This window comes from Homo sapiens, chromosome 10 (genome assembly GCF_000001405.40).
Source record: "Homo sapiens chromosome 10, GRCh38.p14 Primary Assembly".
Lineage (NCBI taxonomy): Eukaryota > Metazoa > Chordata > Mammalia > Primates > Hominidae > Homo > Homo sapiens.
This window is the reverse complement of record NC_000010.11, coordinates 87,891,434-87,908,146: the sequence shown is the minus strand read 5'-3', so window position 1 is coordinate 87,908,146 and position 16,713 is coordinate 87,891,434. Positions and strand designations below refer to the sequence as shown.

Genomic DNA, 16,713 nt, shown 5'->3' with positions numbered 1-16,713 from the left:
AAAATTGGGCAGCCAGTATATCAAACAGTATGGTGGTTTCTCAAAAATTTAAATATAGAATTACCATTCAATCCAGCAATCTCACTTTTGGGTACATATCCAAAAGAAATGAAAGCAGATACTCAAACAGGTATTACATACCCATATTCATAGCAGCATTATTCACAACAGCCAAAAGTGTCTATTGATGAATAAATGGATAAACAAAATATGGTATATACATAACAATGGAATATTATTCGGCCTTTTAAAAGGAAGGAAATGCTAACAACTGCTACAACATGGATGAACCTCGAAGATAGTTAGTGAAATAAGCCAGTTACAAAAAGATATCACGTGATTCCGCTTATACGAGGTACCTAGAATAGTCAAATACATAGAGATGAAAGTAGAACAATGGTTGGTACTAACAGGAGGAGCAATGAGGAGTTATTATTTAATGGGTGTGGTATGTCAGTGTGGGATAATGAAAAAGTTCTAGAGATGGACAGTGGTGACAATTGCACAACAATGTAAATGTACTGAATGCTAGATGTTAATGCTACTGAACTGTATGTTTTATATATATATATCATATATATCATATATATATCATATATATCTCATATATATGAGATATATCTCATATATATATATACACACGCACACACATACACATATATATAAAATATATTATCACAGTAACAAAATTACTCATCTCTGGCCCTATTTATCTTCAAACCTTTATTCCTGCTTCTCCCCAGATGCAATCACCCTCAACTACTCGGATTCTTTTTCCTCCTATTTAATTAGGTATTTTAAAATATTATTCTTAATACTGCTTCTTACAGATTTATTAACTACAGATGTCCTGCCATGGTAAAGGAGACTTACAAAACTAGCAGTATTCCATACGTGTTTCACTTATCTTAATTCCCCTAAAATAGCAACATCACAATTTTGGGTTAACTCAAACCACCAATGCTAATAATTGTTTCCTTTTTCTAATTTGCTCAGTTTTGCAAGAATCCATTACATTTTTCTCCAAATATTTCAACATCCATCTATCAATTTGATTATTTTCCCGGAAGTTCTAATCTCCTGCTCCAAGCAAAACTGGTAACTTTTCAGCTTGTGTCACAGCTGTCATCCTGGGACTTTCTTCTTTGTTGCTTCTGAGTGGGATTCTCTGTTTACTGAAGCTCTTTTATTTCCTTTCTTGGTTTATTCCCTTGTTTTGTTGAACCACATCTTCTGGGTAATGTCCAAAAAAAATGTTCTTCATGAGCACATTTTTTTAGTCCTTGAGTTTTTCCCCCTACTTTCACACTTGATTGATGGTTTAACTGGATACAGAATTCTAGGCTGAATGCAGAACTTTCAAGGTGATGTTTTACCACCTTCTACCTTCAATTCTACTGCCAACAAGTTAGATGCTATTCATATTCCTAATCCCTCCTAGGCGATTCTAAAAAGTTTTTAGATATTATCTTTATTTCTGGTGTCCTAAAACAAATTTCATAATAATTTGCCTAGTATAGGGTTTCTTTTATTGTGCTTGGCACTATGTAGGTCTTTTCAATCTGGATGTTTCTCTCCTTTGTTTTCTCTTTATGAATCCTGTTAATTAGAGACAAGATCTCTACAATGATCCTATAGCACATTTTAATTGATAAAATTAACATATAACACTACAATATTGTCTAAAGCAGTCTGTACATATACAAATAATGTAATAACTAACATATATAGGTCTAACTACTAATTCTATGAGTTATACAGAATCAAAGTTACAATCTCAAAAACAGATGAGAAATGACAATGAATAATCTGTTCATTGACAGAGACAGGTCGGACATTACACAGCTCCAGCTGATTTTTGTCACGCAGGAATGTCAGCCAAGTGTTGGAAGATCCTTCGAAATTTCAAAAGCAGCTAGAAATATAGCTTTTTATGTGAGGTCTCAATTTTTAAATATAGGTAATGTATTTCAATTTTAAACATGGTATGAATCAACAGTGTGAGGTCAAATAAAGAATATTAACAAGATTAGCCCAAGAGTTGTACACAAGATAATATGGTTCCTAAGGAAACAACTTCGGAATCTGACAGACCAGAACTCAACCTTCAGTCTCACTACTTACTAAAAGTAATGCTTGGGGAAGTTAACTTCTTTTAAACCATCTATGAAATGGGGATAGATTTACTGTAGAGATTTAGTAAGATTATATACATAAACTGGCTATACAACAGTTACACATGCAAATAAGTATGTAAATAAATGCCCAATAAATATCTCCTATTATTAACATACAAAAAAATGCATTGGTGTAGATAATATAAACACTGTCAAATCCACTAAGGAATTAAGACTAATGAAAGAAGTAGGAGGTGGCCAGAACGGTGGCTCACGCCTATAATCCCAGCACTTTGGGAGGCCAAGGCAGGCAGATTACCTAAGGTCAGGAGTTCAAGGCTAGCCTGGCCAACATGGTGAAACCACGTTTCTACTAAAAATACAAAAATTAGCCAGGCATGTGGCGCGTGCCTGTAGTCCCAGCTACGGGAGGCTGAGGCAGGAGAATTGCTTGAACTCGGGAGGCAGAGGTTGCAATGAGATGAGATCGCCCCATTGCACTACAACCTGGGAAACAAACCAAGACCCCGTCTCAAGATTTAAAAAAAAAAAAAAAAAAAAAAGCAAGAGGCACCCAATAAGAACAGGGCTTTCTTTTGGGGTGATAAAATGTTTTGAAACTTGATAAAGGTAGAGGTAACACTGTGAAGGTAATAAATGCCACGGAATGTACACTTTCCGTGGTTAAAATGGTTAGCTGTTATGTGAATTTCACTTTATTAAAGAAAAAATGTGGGAAAAACGAGGTAATATGAGAGAAGGAGTCAGAATATGCTAGAAACAGAGAATGAAACTGATCATTCTTTCCTCTTTTGAAGCCTGCCTATAAATAACATCTCTTTAACTCCTTTTTTAAACTGAATAGCCAATACTGATGTTAGGGCAACAAATACTTCCTTTTTATTGAAAATCAACATACAACTAAGGTTGAAAGACTGAGAGATCAACATATTTCAAATATTTCAAAAGAATATTTGAGACTGGGAGTGGAGGCTCACGCCTGTAATCCCAGCACTTTGGGAGGCTGAGACAGGTGGACTGCTTGAGTTCAGGAGTTCGAGACCAGCCTGGAAAACATGGCGAAACTCTGCCTCTACTAAAAATAGAAAAATTAGCCATGTACGGTGACACACGCCTGTGGTCCCAGCTACTTGAGAGGATGAGGTGGGAGGATCGCTGGAGCCCAGAAGTCGAGGTGAACCATGATCACAGCACCACCGTACTCCAGCCTGAGTGACCGAGCGAGACTCTGTCTCAAAAAAAAAGGGGCGAGGGGGTGCTCTTGAATCTATTACACAGCTGCTTATACATGGGGGAAAAAGCTCACAGTGAACAAGACAATAAATAAATCTTTTTCAAAAATCACTATATATCAGAAGACTGTACTCTAAAAGCATTTCCTTATAATATAGGACTCATGCCACCAACAAAGAAAAGAAAAAGGAGGTAGAGGGAAAGGGAAAGAACAGAAAAGGAAAAGAAAAGCATCATACTAGAATCTCACTCTTGGGAGATTTACAATGCATAGTGGCATATTAAAGGTTCTGCAGTGAGAAAGACAGTTCACCTCTATTAAACCTCCATTCTCCTGATTTATAAGAAACAAACAATTCTTAAGTTATGCCTCTTAAACACATGAAGCACCAATTTTGTTAAAGACTGCCTAGATTTACACCAAATAACATAAATTGAAAAACTTCAGTATCAGCTTGAGGGATGAGATTAACATACATATTGGCCGGGTGCAGTGGCTCATGCCTGTAATCCCAGCACTTTGGGAGGCTGAGGCAGGCGGATCGCTTGAGCGCAGGAGTTTGAGACCAGCCTGGGAAACACAGCGAAACCCTATCTCTACAAAAAACACAAAAATTAGCCAGGCCTGGTGATGCGTGGCTGTGGTCCCAGCAACTTGGGAGGCTGAGGTGGGAGGATCACTTGAGCCCAGAAGGCAGAGGTTGCAGTGAGCCGTGATCATGCCTCTGCACCCCAGCCTGGGTGACAGAGCAAGAAACTGCCTTAAAAAAAAAAAAAAAAAAAAAAAGGTGGCATTCCAAGATGGTCAAATAGGAACAGCTCCTGTCTGCAGCTCCCAGCATGATCCACGCGGAAGACAGGTGATTTCTGCATTTCCAACTGAGGTACCTGGTTCTTCTCACTGGGACTGGTTGGAAAGTGGGTGCAGCCCACGGAGGGTGAGCTGAAGCAGGGCGGGGCATTGCCTCACCCAGGAAGCACAAGGGGTCGGGGGATGTCCCTTTCCAAGCCAAGGGAAGCTGTGACACACTATACCGGGAAAATTGGGACACTGCCACCCAAATACTGCGCTTTTCCAACGGTCTTAGCAAATGGCACAACAGGAGATTATATCCCGTGCCTGGCTCAGCAGGTCCTACGCCCACAGAGCCTTGCTCACTGCTAGCGTAGCAGTTCCAAATTGAACTTCAAGGCAGCAGCCTGGCTGGGGGAGGGGCGTCCATCATTGCTGAGGCTTGAGTAGGTAAAGTGGTTGGGAAGCTCCAACTGGGTGGAGCCCACCACAGCTCAAGGAGGCCTGCCTGCCTCTGTAGACTCCACCTCTGGAGGCAGGGCATAGCTGAACAAAAGGCAGCAGAAACTTCCTCAGACTTAAACATCCCTCTCTGACAGCTCTGAAGAGAGCAGTAGTTCTACCAGCACAGTGTTTGAGCTCTGAGAACGGACAGACTGCCTCCTCAAGTGGGTCCCTGACCCCCTTGTAGCCTAACTGGGAGACACCTCCCAGTAGGGGCCGACTGACACCTCATACAGCCGGGTGCCCCCAAGACGAAGCTTCCAGAGGAAGGCTCCGGCAGCAATATTTGCTGTTCTGCAATATTTGCTGTTCTGCAGCCTCCACTGGTGATATCCAGACAGTGTCTGGAGTGGACCTCCAGCAAACTCCAACAGACCTACAGCTGAGGGACCTGACTGTTAGAAGGAAAACTAACAAACAGAAAGGAATAGCATCAACATTAACAAAAAGGACATCCACACCAAAACCCCATCTGTAGGTCACCATAATCAAAGACCAAAGGTAGATAAAACCACAAAGATGGGGAGAAAACAGAGCAGAAAAGCTGAAAATTCTAAAACCCAGAGTGCCTCTTCTCCTCCAAAGGATCACAGCTCCTCACCAGCAATGGAACAAAGCTGGATGAAGAATGACTTTGACGAGTTGACAGAAGTAGGCTTCAGAAGGTCAGTAGTAACAAACTTCTCCGAGCTAAAGGAGGATGTTCAAACCCATCGCAAGGAAGCTAAAAATCTTGAAAAAAGATTAGACAAATGGCTAACTAGAATAAACAGTGTACAGAAGACCATAAATGACCTGATGGAGCTGAAAATCATGGCTCGAGAACTACATGACGCATGCACAAGCTTCAGCAGCCGATTCGATCAAGTGGAAGAAAGGGTATCAGTAATTGCAGATCAAATGAATGAAATGAAGCAAGAAGAGAAGTTTAGAGAAAAAACAGTAAAAAGAAATGAACAAAGCCTCCAAGAAATATGGGACTATGTGAAAAGACCAAATCTACGTTTGATTGGTGTACTTGACAGTGACGGGGAGAATGGAACCAAGCTGGAAAACACTCTTCAGGATATTATCCAGGAGAACTTCCCCAACATAGCAAGGCACGCCAACATTCAAATTCAGGGAATACAGAGACCACCACAAAGATACTCCTAGAGAAGAGCAACCCCAAGACACATAATTGTTAGATTCACCAAGGTGGAAATGCAGGAAAAAATGTAAAGGGCAGCCAGAGAGAAAGGTCGGGTTACCCACAAAGGGAAGCCCATCAGACTAACAGCAGATCTCTCCGCTGAAACTCTACAAGCCAGAAGAGAGTGGGGGCCAATAGTCTACATTCTTAAAGAAAAGAATTTTCAACCCAGAATTTCATATCCAGCCAAACTAAGCTTCATAAGGGAAGGAGAAATAAAAACCTTTACAGACAAGCAAATGCTGAGAGATTTTGTCACTACCAGGCCTGCCTTACAAGAGCTCCTGAAGGAAGCACTAAACATGGAAAGGAACAACTGGTATCAGCCACTGCAAAAACATGCCAAATTGTAAAGACCATTGATGCTAGGAAGAAACTACATCAACTAATGGGCAAAATAACCAGCTAACATCACAATGACAGGATCAAATTCACACATAACAATATTAACCTTAAATGTAAATGGGGTAAATGCCCCAATTAAAAGACAAAGACTGGCAAATTGGATAAAGAGTCAAGACCCATCAGTGTGCTGTATTCAGGAGATGTATCTCACATGCAGACACACACACAGGCTCAAAATAAAGGGATGGAGGAAGATCTACCAAGCAAATGGAAAGCAAGAAAAAGCAGGGGTTGCAATCCTAGTCTCTAATAAAACAAACTGTAAACCAACAAAGATCAAAAGAGACAAAGAAGGGCATTACATAATGGTAAAGGGATCAATTCAACAAGAAGAGCTAACTATCCTAAATATATATACACCCAATACAGGAGCACCTAGATTCATAAAGCAAGTCCTGAGTGACCTACAAAGAGACTTAGACTCCCACACAGTTAATATCGGGAGATTTTAACACCCCACTGTCAATATGAGACAGATCAACGAGACAGAAGGTTAACAAGGATATCCAGGATTTGAACTCAGCTCTGCACCAAGCAGACCTAATAGACATCTACAGAACTCTCCATCCCAAATCAACAGAATATACATTCTTATCAGCACCACATCACACTTATTCCAAAATTGACCACATAGTTGGAAGTAAAGCACTCACTCCTCAGCAAATGTAAAAGAATAAAAATCACAACAAACTGTCTCTCAGACCACAGTAAAATCAAATTAGAACTCAGGATTAAGAAACTCACTCAAAACTGCACAACTACATGGAAACTGATCAACCTGCTCCTGAATGACTACTGGGTAAATAACAAAATGAAGGCAGAAATAAAGATGTTCTTTGAAACCAATGAGAACAAAGACACAACGTACCAGAATCTCTGGGACACATTTAAAGCAGTGTATACAGGGAAATTTATAGCACTAAATGCCCACAAGAGAAAGCAGGAAAGATCTAAAATCAACACCCTAATATCACAATTAAAACAACTAGAGATGCAAGAGCAAACAAATTCAAAAGCTAGCAGAAGGCAAGAAATAACTAAGATCAGAGCAGAATTGAAGGAGATAGGACACAAAAAACCCTTCAAAAAAAAAATCAATGAATCCAGGAGCTGGTTTTTTTAAAAAACAAAATTGATAGACTGCTAGCAAGACTAATAAGGAAGAAAAGAGAGAAGAATCAAATAGATGCAATAAAAAATGATAAAGGGGATATCACCACTGATCCCACAGAAATACAAACTACCATCAGAGAATACTATAAACACCTCTATGCAAATAAACTAGAAAATCTAGAAGAAATGGATAAATTCCTGGACATATACACCCTCCCAAGACTAAACCAGGAAGAAGTTGAATCCCTGAATAGACCAGTAACAGGCTCTGAAATTGAGGCAATAATTAATAGCCTACCAACCGAAAAAAGTCCAGGACCAGACAGATTCACAGCCGAATTCTACCAGAGGTAAAAAGACGAGCTGGTACCATTCCTTCTGAAACTATTCCAATTCATAGAAAAAGAGGGAATCCTCCCTAACTCATTTTAGGAGGCCAGCACCATCCCGATACCAAAGCCTGGCAGAGACACAACAAAAAAAGAGAATTTTAGACCAACACCCCTGATGAACATCAATGCAAAAATCCTCAATAAAATATTGGCAAACCGAATCCAGCAGCACATCAAAAAGCTTATCCACCAAGATCAAGTTGGCTTCATCCCTGTGATGCAAGGCTGGTTCAACATACGCAAATCAATAAACATAATCCATCACATAAAGAGAACCAAAGACAAAAAACCACATGATTATCTCAATAGATGCAGAAAAGGCCTTTGACAAAATTCAACAGCCCTTCATGCTAAAAACTCTCAATAAATTAGGTATTGATGGAACGTATCTCAAAATAATAAGAGCTATTTATGACAAACCCACAGCCAGTATCATACTGAATGGGCAAAAACTGGAAGCATTCCCTTTGAAAACTGGCACAAGACAGGGACGCCCTCTCTCACCACTCCTATTCAACACAGTGTTGGAAGTTCTGGCCAGGGCAATCAGGCAAGAGAAAGAAATAAAGGGTATTCAATTAGGAAAAGAGGAAGTCAAATTGTCCCTGTTTGCAGATGACATGATTGTATATTTAGAAAGCCCCACTGTCTCAGCCCAAAATCTCCTTCAGCTGATAAGCAACTTCAGCAAAGTCTCAGGATACAAAATCAATGTGCAAAAATCACAAGCATTCTTATACACCAATAACAGACAGACAGAGAGCCAAATCATGAGTGAACTCCCACTCACAACTGCTACAAAGAGAATAAAATACCTAGGAATCCAACTTACAAGGGATGTGAAGGACCTGTTCAAGAACTACAAACCACTGCTCAACGAAATAAAAGATGACACAAACAAATGGAAGAACATTCCATGCTCATGGGTAGGAAGAATCAATATCGTGAAAATGGCCACACTGCCCAAGGTAATTTATAGAAACAATGCCATCCCCATCAAGCTACCAATAAATTTCTTCACAGAATTGGAAAAAACTACTTTAAAGTTCATATGGAGCCAAAAAAGAGCCCGCACTGCCAAGACAATCCTAAGCAGAAAGAAAAAAGCTGGAGGCATCACACTACCTGACTTCAAACTATACTACAAGGCTACAGTAACCAAAACAGCATGGTACTGGTACCAAAACAGAGATATAGACCAATGGAACAGAACAGAGCCCTCAGAAATAACATGACACATCTACAACCATCTGATCTTTGACAAACCTGACAAAAACAGGAAATGGGGAAAGGGTTCCCTAGTTAATAAATGGTGCTGGGAAAACTGGCTAGTCATATGTAGAAAGCTGAAATTGGATCATTTCCTTACACCTTATACAAAAATTAATTCAAGATGGATTAAAGACTTAAATGTTAAAGACTTAAATGTAGACCTAAAACCATAAAAACCCTAGAAGCAAACCTAGGCAATACCATTCAGGACATAGGCATGGGCAAGGACTTCATGACTAAAACACCAAAAGCAATGGCAACAAAAGCCAAAATAGTCAAATGGGATCTAATTAAACTAAAGAGCTTCTGCACAGCAAAAGAAACTACCATCAGAGTGGACAGGCAACCTATAGAATGGAAGAAAATTTCTGCAATCTACCCATCTGACAAATGGCTAATATCCAGAATCTACAAAGAACTTAAACAAATTTACAGGAAAAAAATCAAACAACCCCATCAAAAAGTGGGCAAAGGATATGAACAGACACTTTCCAAAAGAAGACATTTATAGACATTTATGCAGCCAACAGACACATGAAAAAATGCTCATCATCACTGGCCATCAGAGAAATGCAAATCAAAACCACAATGAGATACCATCTCACACCAGTTAGAATGGCGATCATTAAAAAGTCAGGAAACAACAGGTGCTGGAGAGGATGTGGAGGAACAGGAACATTTTTACACTGTTGGTGGGACTGTAAACTAGTTCAACCATTGTGGAAGACAGTGTGGCAATTCCTCAGGGATCTAGAACTAGAAATACCATTTGACCCAGCAATTCCATTACTGGGTATATATCCAAAGGATTATAAATCATGCTACTATAAAGACACATGCATACGTATGTTTACTGCAGCACTATTCACAATAGCAAAGAATTAGAACCAACCCAAATGTCCATCAATGACTGACTGGATTAAGAAAATGTGGCACATATACACCACGGAGTAGTATGCAGCCATAAAAAAGGATGAGCTTCACGTCCTTTGTAGGGACATAGATGAAGCTGGAAACCATCATTCTGAGCAAACTATCGCAAGGACAGAAAACCAAACACCGCATGTTCTCACTCACAGGTGGCAACTGAACAACGAGAACACTTGGACACAGGGCGGGGAACATCACACACCGGGGCCTGTCCTGGGGTGGGGGGTTGGGAGAGGGATAACATTAGGAGAAATACCTAATGTAAATGACGAGTTAATGGGTGCAGCAAACCAACACGGCACATGTATACATATGTAACGAATCTGTAAGTTGTGCATATGTACCCTATTACTTAAAGTGTAATAAAAAAGATTAACATACATATTACAGAATAATCAATTATCTGAATAAAACACTGTTTCATATTACCAGCATGTCAGGACAAGAGCTTAGCAGCAAGAAAGGAGGAAAACAGCAGTAGTAAGAGGAAAAGAAGAAAAAAACAATTTGGGAATAGTTAGCTTCTATGAGATGTGGCTTTCTTACTGTCAATTCCAAATGCTATATATATAAGCCAAACTGTTGCAATCAAGATAGTAAAAAACAGCAACAATAACAACAACAATAAAAAAGAGTAAAAAAATTACAGCTTGGTTCACTTTTCCCTCACTTTCTTTTGGCTTATTTTTTACATTAATTCCCAATCGTAGGCGGTAACCTCAAAAGGAGAAGTTAAATATTTGTCTCAAAAGGACTCTGAGTACCTCAAGTATAAAACTTCGCATTCCATAACAAATCATATCCCTCAAAGTTAAATAATACTGATCAATTTAGCCAGGCGTGGCGGCTCACACCTGTAATTCCAGAGGCCGAGACAGATGGATCACCCGAGGTCAGGAGTTTGAGACCAGACTGGCCAACAAGGTAAAACCCCATCTCTACTACAAATACAAAAATCAGCTGGGCGTGGGGGCGGGCATCTATAATCCCAGCTGCTCCGCAGGCTGAGGCAGGAGAATCGCTTGAACCCAGGAGGCAGAGGTTGCAGTGAGCTGAGATGGCACCACTGCACTCCAGCCTGGGCGACAAGAGTGAGACTCCGTCTCAAAAAAAAAAAAAAAAAAAAATACTGAGCAATGTAAGCTTGAAGGTATTTGCAATCTGAGTTTATTTTAGTCAAAGCAATGATGTAGTACAACAATAACAAAGTCTAATCTCTGCAGAGTATTTTCCGTTTGGGGAAAAATCACAGGAAAAATATGCAGTATAAGAGAAAAGGAAAATTTTAAATATTCTTTGGGCATTCTAATAGAGAGGGCAAACAAAAATCCAACTGAAAATACTTTCGTTAACAGAAAAATTAAGTATACAAAAATTTTAAAAACATTTTTCACTGTGACACTATCATCTTTGAACCAAAAAAGGAATCACTACTGATTACTAATATCCTCAATATAATGTGAACCAATCAAGGAAATTAATCACTTAGGTACTAGGCACAGCCATTCTCTTGGAGACTTTAATCCTAACAGGCAAATTACTTAGGAATTATTTATTTCCATTTTAGTTGATAGAAAAAAACAATACCTTTATTTCTGGTCACTGTTCATCCTTTCTCTCATAAAAGAAGAGGAGGGGCCTGGGCAATAGAGGCTATCAAAGCTTTATTGGCCAATTATCCCCCAATCAAAAAAGAATGAGACAAAAGGAAACAAGGACAGCATAGCTATTATATTCAGCAGATAATTCTTCATGTTGACATGCTATTAATAGTATCATAAGAGGTGACAAGATCCATCGGCTAAAAGAACCACTGGCTAAATATTAATCGGGATACATAAAACATTTTTTTTTAAGAAATGGCATATTTGAAGAAATCATATGGCTAGACAAAACAAACTAGATAGATTGTGAAGCTAGATAGACTAAACCTCAGTCTTGATTACTAATTACAAGCTGAATGTATAAATCTTTTCCTTCAGAGGCATAAAGGTAAGAGTTATGAATCAAATGGAAGGACCAAAATGCTTCCCAATGAAGTATTTTCTTGGTGAAGTTATTGCAATCTAAGGTCTGAAAATCAGCTGTACAGGAACTTTATCAGTAACCTAAAAGATGATCAATCAGCCTCAGTGACTAACGACACTGAGAAGAGACCAACGTAAAAACTAGCACACCAGATTAATTTACCACAAAGATATTCTCACCATAATCAGAAAACCTGCCCTCTATTCAGAGTATTCACTCTTTTTTGGTATGAGTACTAATCTGGCTGGGTTGAATTAGTGCTTAGTTGAATACAGAATTAAAATAATGTGAAGTAGGTCATCTTGTGGGATATATCATGCAGGCCATAAAGAGACCCAATAAACACTTCTGTACCATAGGAGAGGATACACGTCTGGTGACTGTACTGCTCACTTCCCAGATTCACCATCTTCCTTAATTCAAAATGTATCTTTTTCTTTTTTCTATGGCTCATTGCTTTTTCTTTAGAAGTGTTATCACAAGCTATATCAACCTGCTGTTCCCATCAGCTTGCAATGTTAAGCATCCTTCTACTGTGCCCTGCCTAACTATGAGAAGATAAATTCATTTCTCTATTTTCAGCTTCTTAAACAGTCCTTCTGGCATCCCTATGTACCAGCTATAATTTTAATAGAAACTATAAAAACTAGGGGGATTTTTTGTAGTTTTTGTAGGTACAAAAATTTGATTTTCAATATAAATATTACAAAATTCTAAATGAACACAACTCAATACTACAGAAAATTGTAAATCTACCGTGGTTCAAAGCAAGTTGCTAAAACTTATGGCTAGCTCATGAAGAATGTAGGTTGTCTTATATACTTACACAACTATTATAAAAGGAGTCTACATCTGCATAATGCTTTATAAGTTACAAAGTACTTTCCCATCCATTTTAACATCTAATTGTCATAAGCACCAAGTATTTAAATTGAAAGTCTCCAGGAAAGATACTAATGAAAGAGTGTAAAGGAAATAATCCACAACTTAAACTTTTTTTTTAAGAGATGGGTTCTCGCTGTGTTACCCAGACTGGCCTCTACCCTCTACCTGGGGGTTCAAGCCAAGTGATCCTCCCACCTCAGCCTCCCAAGTAGCTGGGACTACAGGAGCACACCACAATGCTTGACCTGAAATTTTAACTTTTAAAGCCATTAAGGTTCTTACTGACAATTTACAGTTGATTTATTAATACACATATATTTTTGCTCTGAAATTAGCAAATATGTTAAGACTATTTGCACATCAGACATGAATTCCTTTCATAAAATACGCCACGAATTCTTAAGGTTCCTACTGACAATTTACAGTTAATTTATTCATACATATATATTTTTGCTCTGAAATTAGAAAATATGTTAAGACTATTTGCACATCAGACATGAATTCCTCCTTTCATAAAATATGCCATGAATTCTTAAGACTGTATATTTTAAAAATAATATTTACATGGGCCTTGAGAAATAAATTGTTCTAAACTAAATGATAATCGCAGTTAGAAAATTATGCAAAATTATAAAACTGATTAGCCTTGGTACACCCAGCGATTCCTTTCTATATCTCTTGTACCAACCAAATACTTCTTCAGGTAGTTGGTATACATATGCACAGTGGTACCTTAAAATTTGGTCTACATAAAAATATACAGTATTAGTCATCTACATCTTAGTGTGAATAAATTTAACTGAATAAATCCACTCTAGGATTTTAAGCCTAATCCCCAACTATGAAATAAGACAAAAATCACACTGTAATGGAATCCAGGTATTAAACCTGGTGACCAGCATTTTATGGAGTCCAGGAAATGATATCACATAAGTACCTGATTATGTAATGTATAAGGTCAGTTCTTATCAAATGAACTGTATCCCCCTGAAGTCCATTAGGTACGGTAAGCCAAAAAATGATTATAGAGCACTACAATAATAGTTTACATCACAAAGTATCTTTTTCTGTGGCTTAGAAATCTTTTCTAAATGAAAACACAACATGAATATAAACATCAATATTTGAAATAGAAAATCAAAGCATTCTTACCTTACTACATCATCAATATTGTTCCTGTATACGCCTTCAAGTCTTTCTGCAGGAAATCCCATAGCAATAATGTTTGGATAAATATCTGAGTACTTTAGTTAAGGAAAGAAATATCTGAAATATGCAGCAATCAAACTAAAAGAATACTTTTTAAAACATTAGCTAGTTATGAAAAGAAAGTTTTCCCCACTATAGCTGGAGTAATAAAAGGTGGTCAATGTATTTATGTATAACCATTTATGTGTTAATACTGGTAAAGATAAAAGGTAACTTCCACATGGACAGTATTCAGGTATATGAGAAAAACAGAAACTCACGGTTTATACATCACAGAACTAAAGTACTTTATGTCAAAAACCAAAAATCAAAACAAAACCCCAAAATTGACACCTGCCTGAAAAGACAAGAGTTCAACTTCTAATTTTTCATGGCTAAAAAAGGCAACACGTTACAGAAAAAAGAAGACACAGTGAAAATCTGGAAGTCAGATTTAAGAGCTGGCTATGTCTCTAACTAGTTGTGTAATTTGGACAAGTCACTTAACCTTTCTAGACCGCAATTTCCTATTCTACATGATAATTAGACTCAAAGAGATTACTACTAAGGTTTCTTCCAGCCCTTGCTATCTATGACTTGATAATACTGAACTGAGGCAGAAACTTCATTTATTATTACTTTCAATCAAACTACAGTTGGCCAATGAACAAAACCGGTTTGAGCTGTGTCGGACCACTTGTATGTGGACCTTCTTCTACCTCTGCCACCCATGAGACAGCAAGTCTGACCTTTCCTCTCTCTCCTACTCCTCGGCCTACTCAAAGTGAAGGCAGTGAGGATGAAGACCTTTATGAGGATCCACTTCCACTTAATGAATAGTAAGTATATTTTCTCTTCTTTATGATTTTAATATTTTTCCTGCAGCTTACTTTATTATACAAATATGCTATCTGACACATATATAAAATATGTATTAACGAACATTATGTCATCAGTAAGACTTCTAGTCAAGTATAGGCTAAATATTAAGTTTTGGGGAGTCAAAAGTTACATGTGAATTTTCAACTGCACAGGGGTAGGCGCCCCTACCCTCTGTGTTGTTCAAGGGTCAACTGTCATGGATATTTAGCATGCCCATTATAGTGAATTATGTTACAGACTATAGCTAGCATAAAAACAAAACTCTACACACAAGAACCATTTATAAACTATAAAAATCATCAACACTCTACGCTTTTATGATTCTTACCCACTCATCATACCAGCTCTCATTTTTTGAGGTACCTCAATCTAATCTCATGATTTTCTGACAGACCTTTCACACCAGCCCAGTCAATCTGCCTAACGCCTCATTTCAAGACCAACTCCAATAATCTCTGCCCACTCACTTCTGGACTCATTTATCTTCCAAATAAAATTCAAAGTTGACCTAATCCAATGCCCTTTTTCTAGGTCTTTTTCTTTCTGCAGCTTTCACATGATTGAGTTGATTTCAGTAGTATTTTCAATCCAAAAATAATTATCAAGTTACTGAAAGCTATTATTTTAATAGCATAGTTTAAGAAAAGGTTATATGTATATGTTCTATCTATAAGATAACTATGTGCTAACTGGAGAGATCTACTGAATATTTTAAGGAAAAAAACCCACCCAATAGAGTATACTGGGTATATCTTTCGTATAGGGATGACAAAAAGAATGTTAACCCATATATTTGCTTGAATGTCAACATCCTCAATAAACATATGCATGCATGAGTGATAAACAAGAAACTAATAAAAATGGCTGCTTCACAGAGAAAGGGAAGAAAAGGGGAAAAGCATAGCAAGAACAGGTAGCAGCAGGACTCCTGTGTATATCTTTATATATTTTTGATCTTAGAATAATATAAAGAAAAAAAAGACTTATAATCTAATAAATTGAACACTGCTAGAAACAAAACTGATTAAATGTCAAATTGGCACCCAGGAGAAAGAGAAAGGTTTTGTTACAAGGGCTATTTGGACACTGCACTTTTACTGCACTTCTTGGTAGGAAGTATTCTAAGAACAAAAAAACACTAGGAAGAAACTTTAAACTTCTTTTGGTAGTTTTACTGATTCTAGTAATATCATTATTGATATCCTCAAACTATTTTCTTTTTTTTTTTTTTTTAAATAGAGACCAGGTCTCATGATGTGGCACAGGCTGGTCTCAAACTCCTGGGCTCAAGCCATCCTCCCACCTTGACCTCCCAAAGTGCCAGGATGACATGCATGAGCCACTACATCCAGCCTCCTCAAACTATTTTATCTTTTTTTTCCCCCTGAAACAGGGTCTCACTTTGTCACCCAGGCTGGAGTGTGGTGGCATGATCATGGCTCACTAGAGCCTTGACCTCCTGGGCTCAGGTGATCCTCCCACCTCAGCCTCCTGAGTAGCTGGGAATACAAGCACATGCCACCATGCCCAGCTAATTTTTTGTAAAGACAAGGTTTCATCATGTTGCCCAGGTTGGTCTTGAACTCCTGAGCTCAAGCAATCCACCTGCCTCAATCTCCCAAAGTGCTGGGATTACAGTGTGAGCCACCGCACCAGGACTATTTTCTTTATGTTGTAGAAATAAGCAAAGAAGTTATGCTAATGACTTTAAGGTTCATAATTTTAAGTTAAGAAAGCAGATAATATTGTAAAATCAAG

The 16,713-nt window shown here is 38.1% G+C and overlaps 1 protein-coding gene across 3 annotated transcripts in view; it reads right to left on the bottom strand.

Annotated features, from left to right (window-relative positions):
- The window catches only part of PTEN (phosphatase and tensin homolog), a 108,306-nt gene that overhangs the window by 63,784 nt on the left and 27,809 nt on the right, over positions 1-16,713 (bottom strand). For all 3 annotated transcript variants that reach the window (NM_001304717.5, NM_000314.8, NM_001304718.2), the window contains 1 exon segment: positions 14,038-14,122. In NM_001304717.5, the coding sequence (NP_001291646.4) occupies positions 14,038-14,122 (85 nt within the window).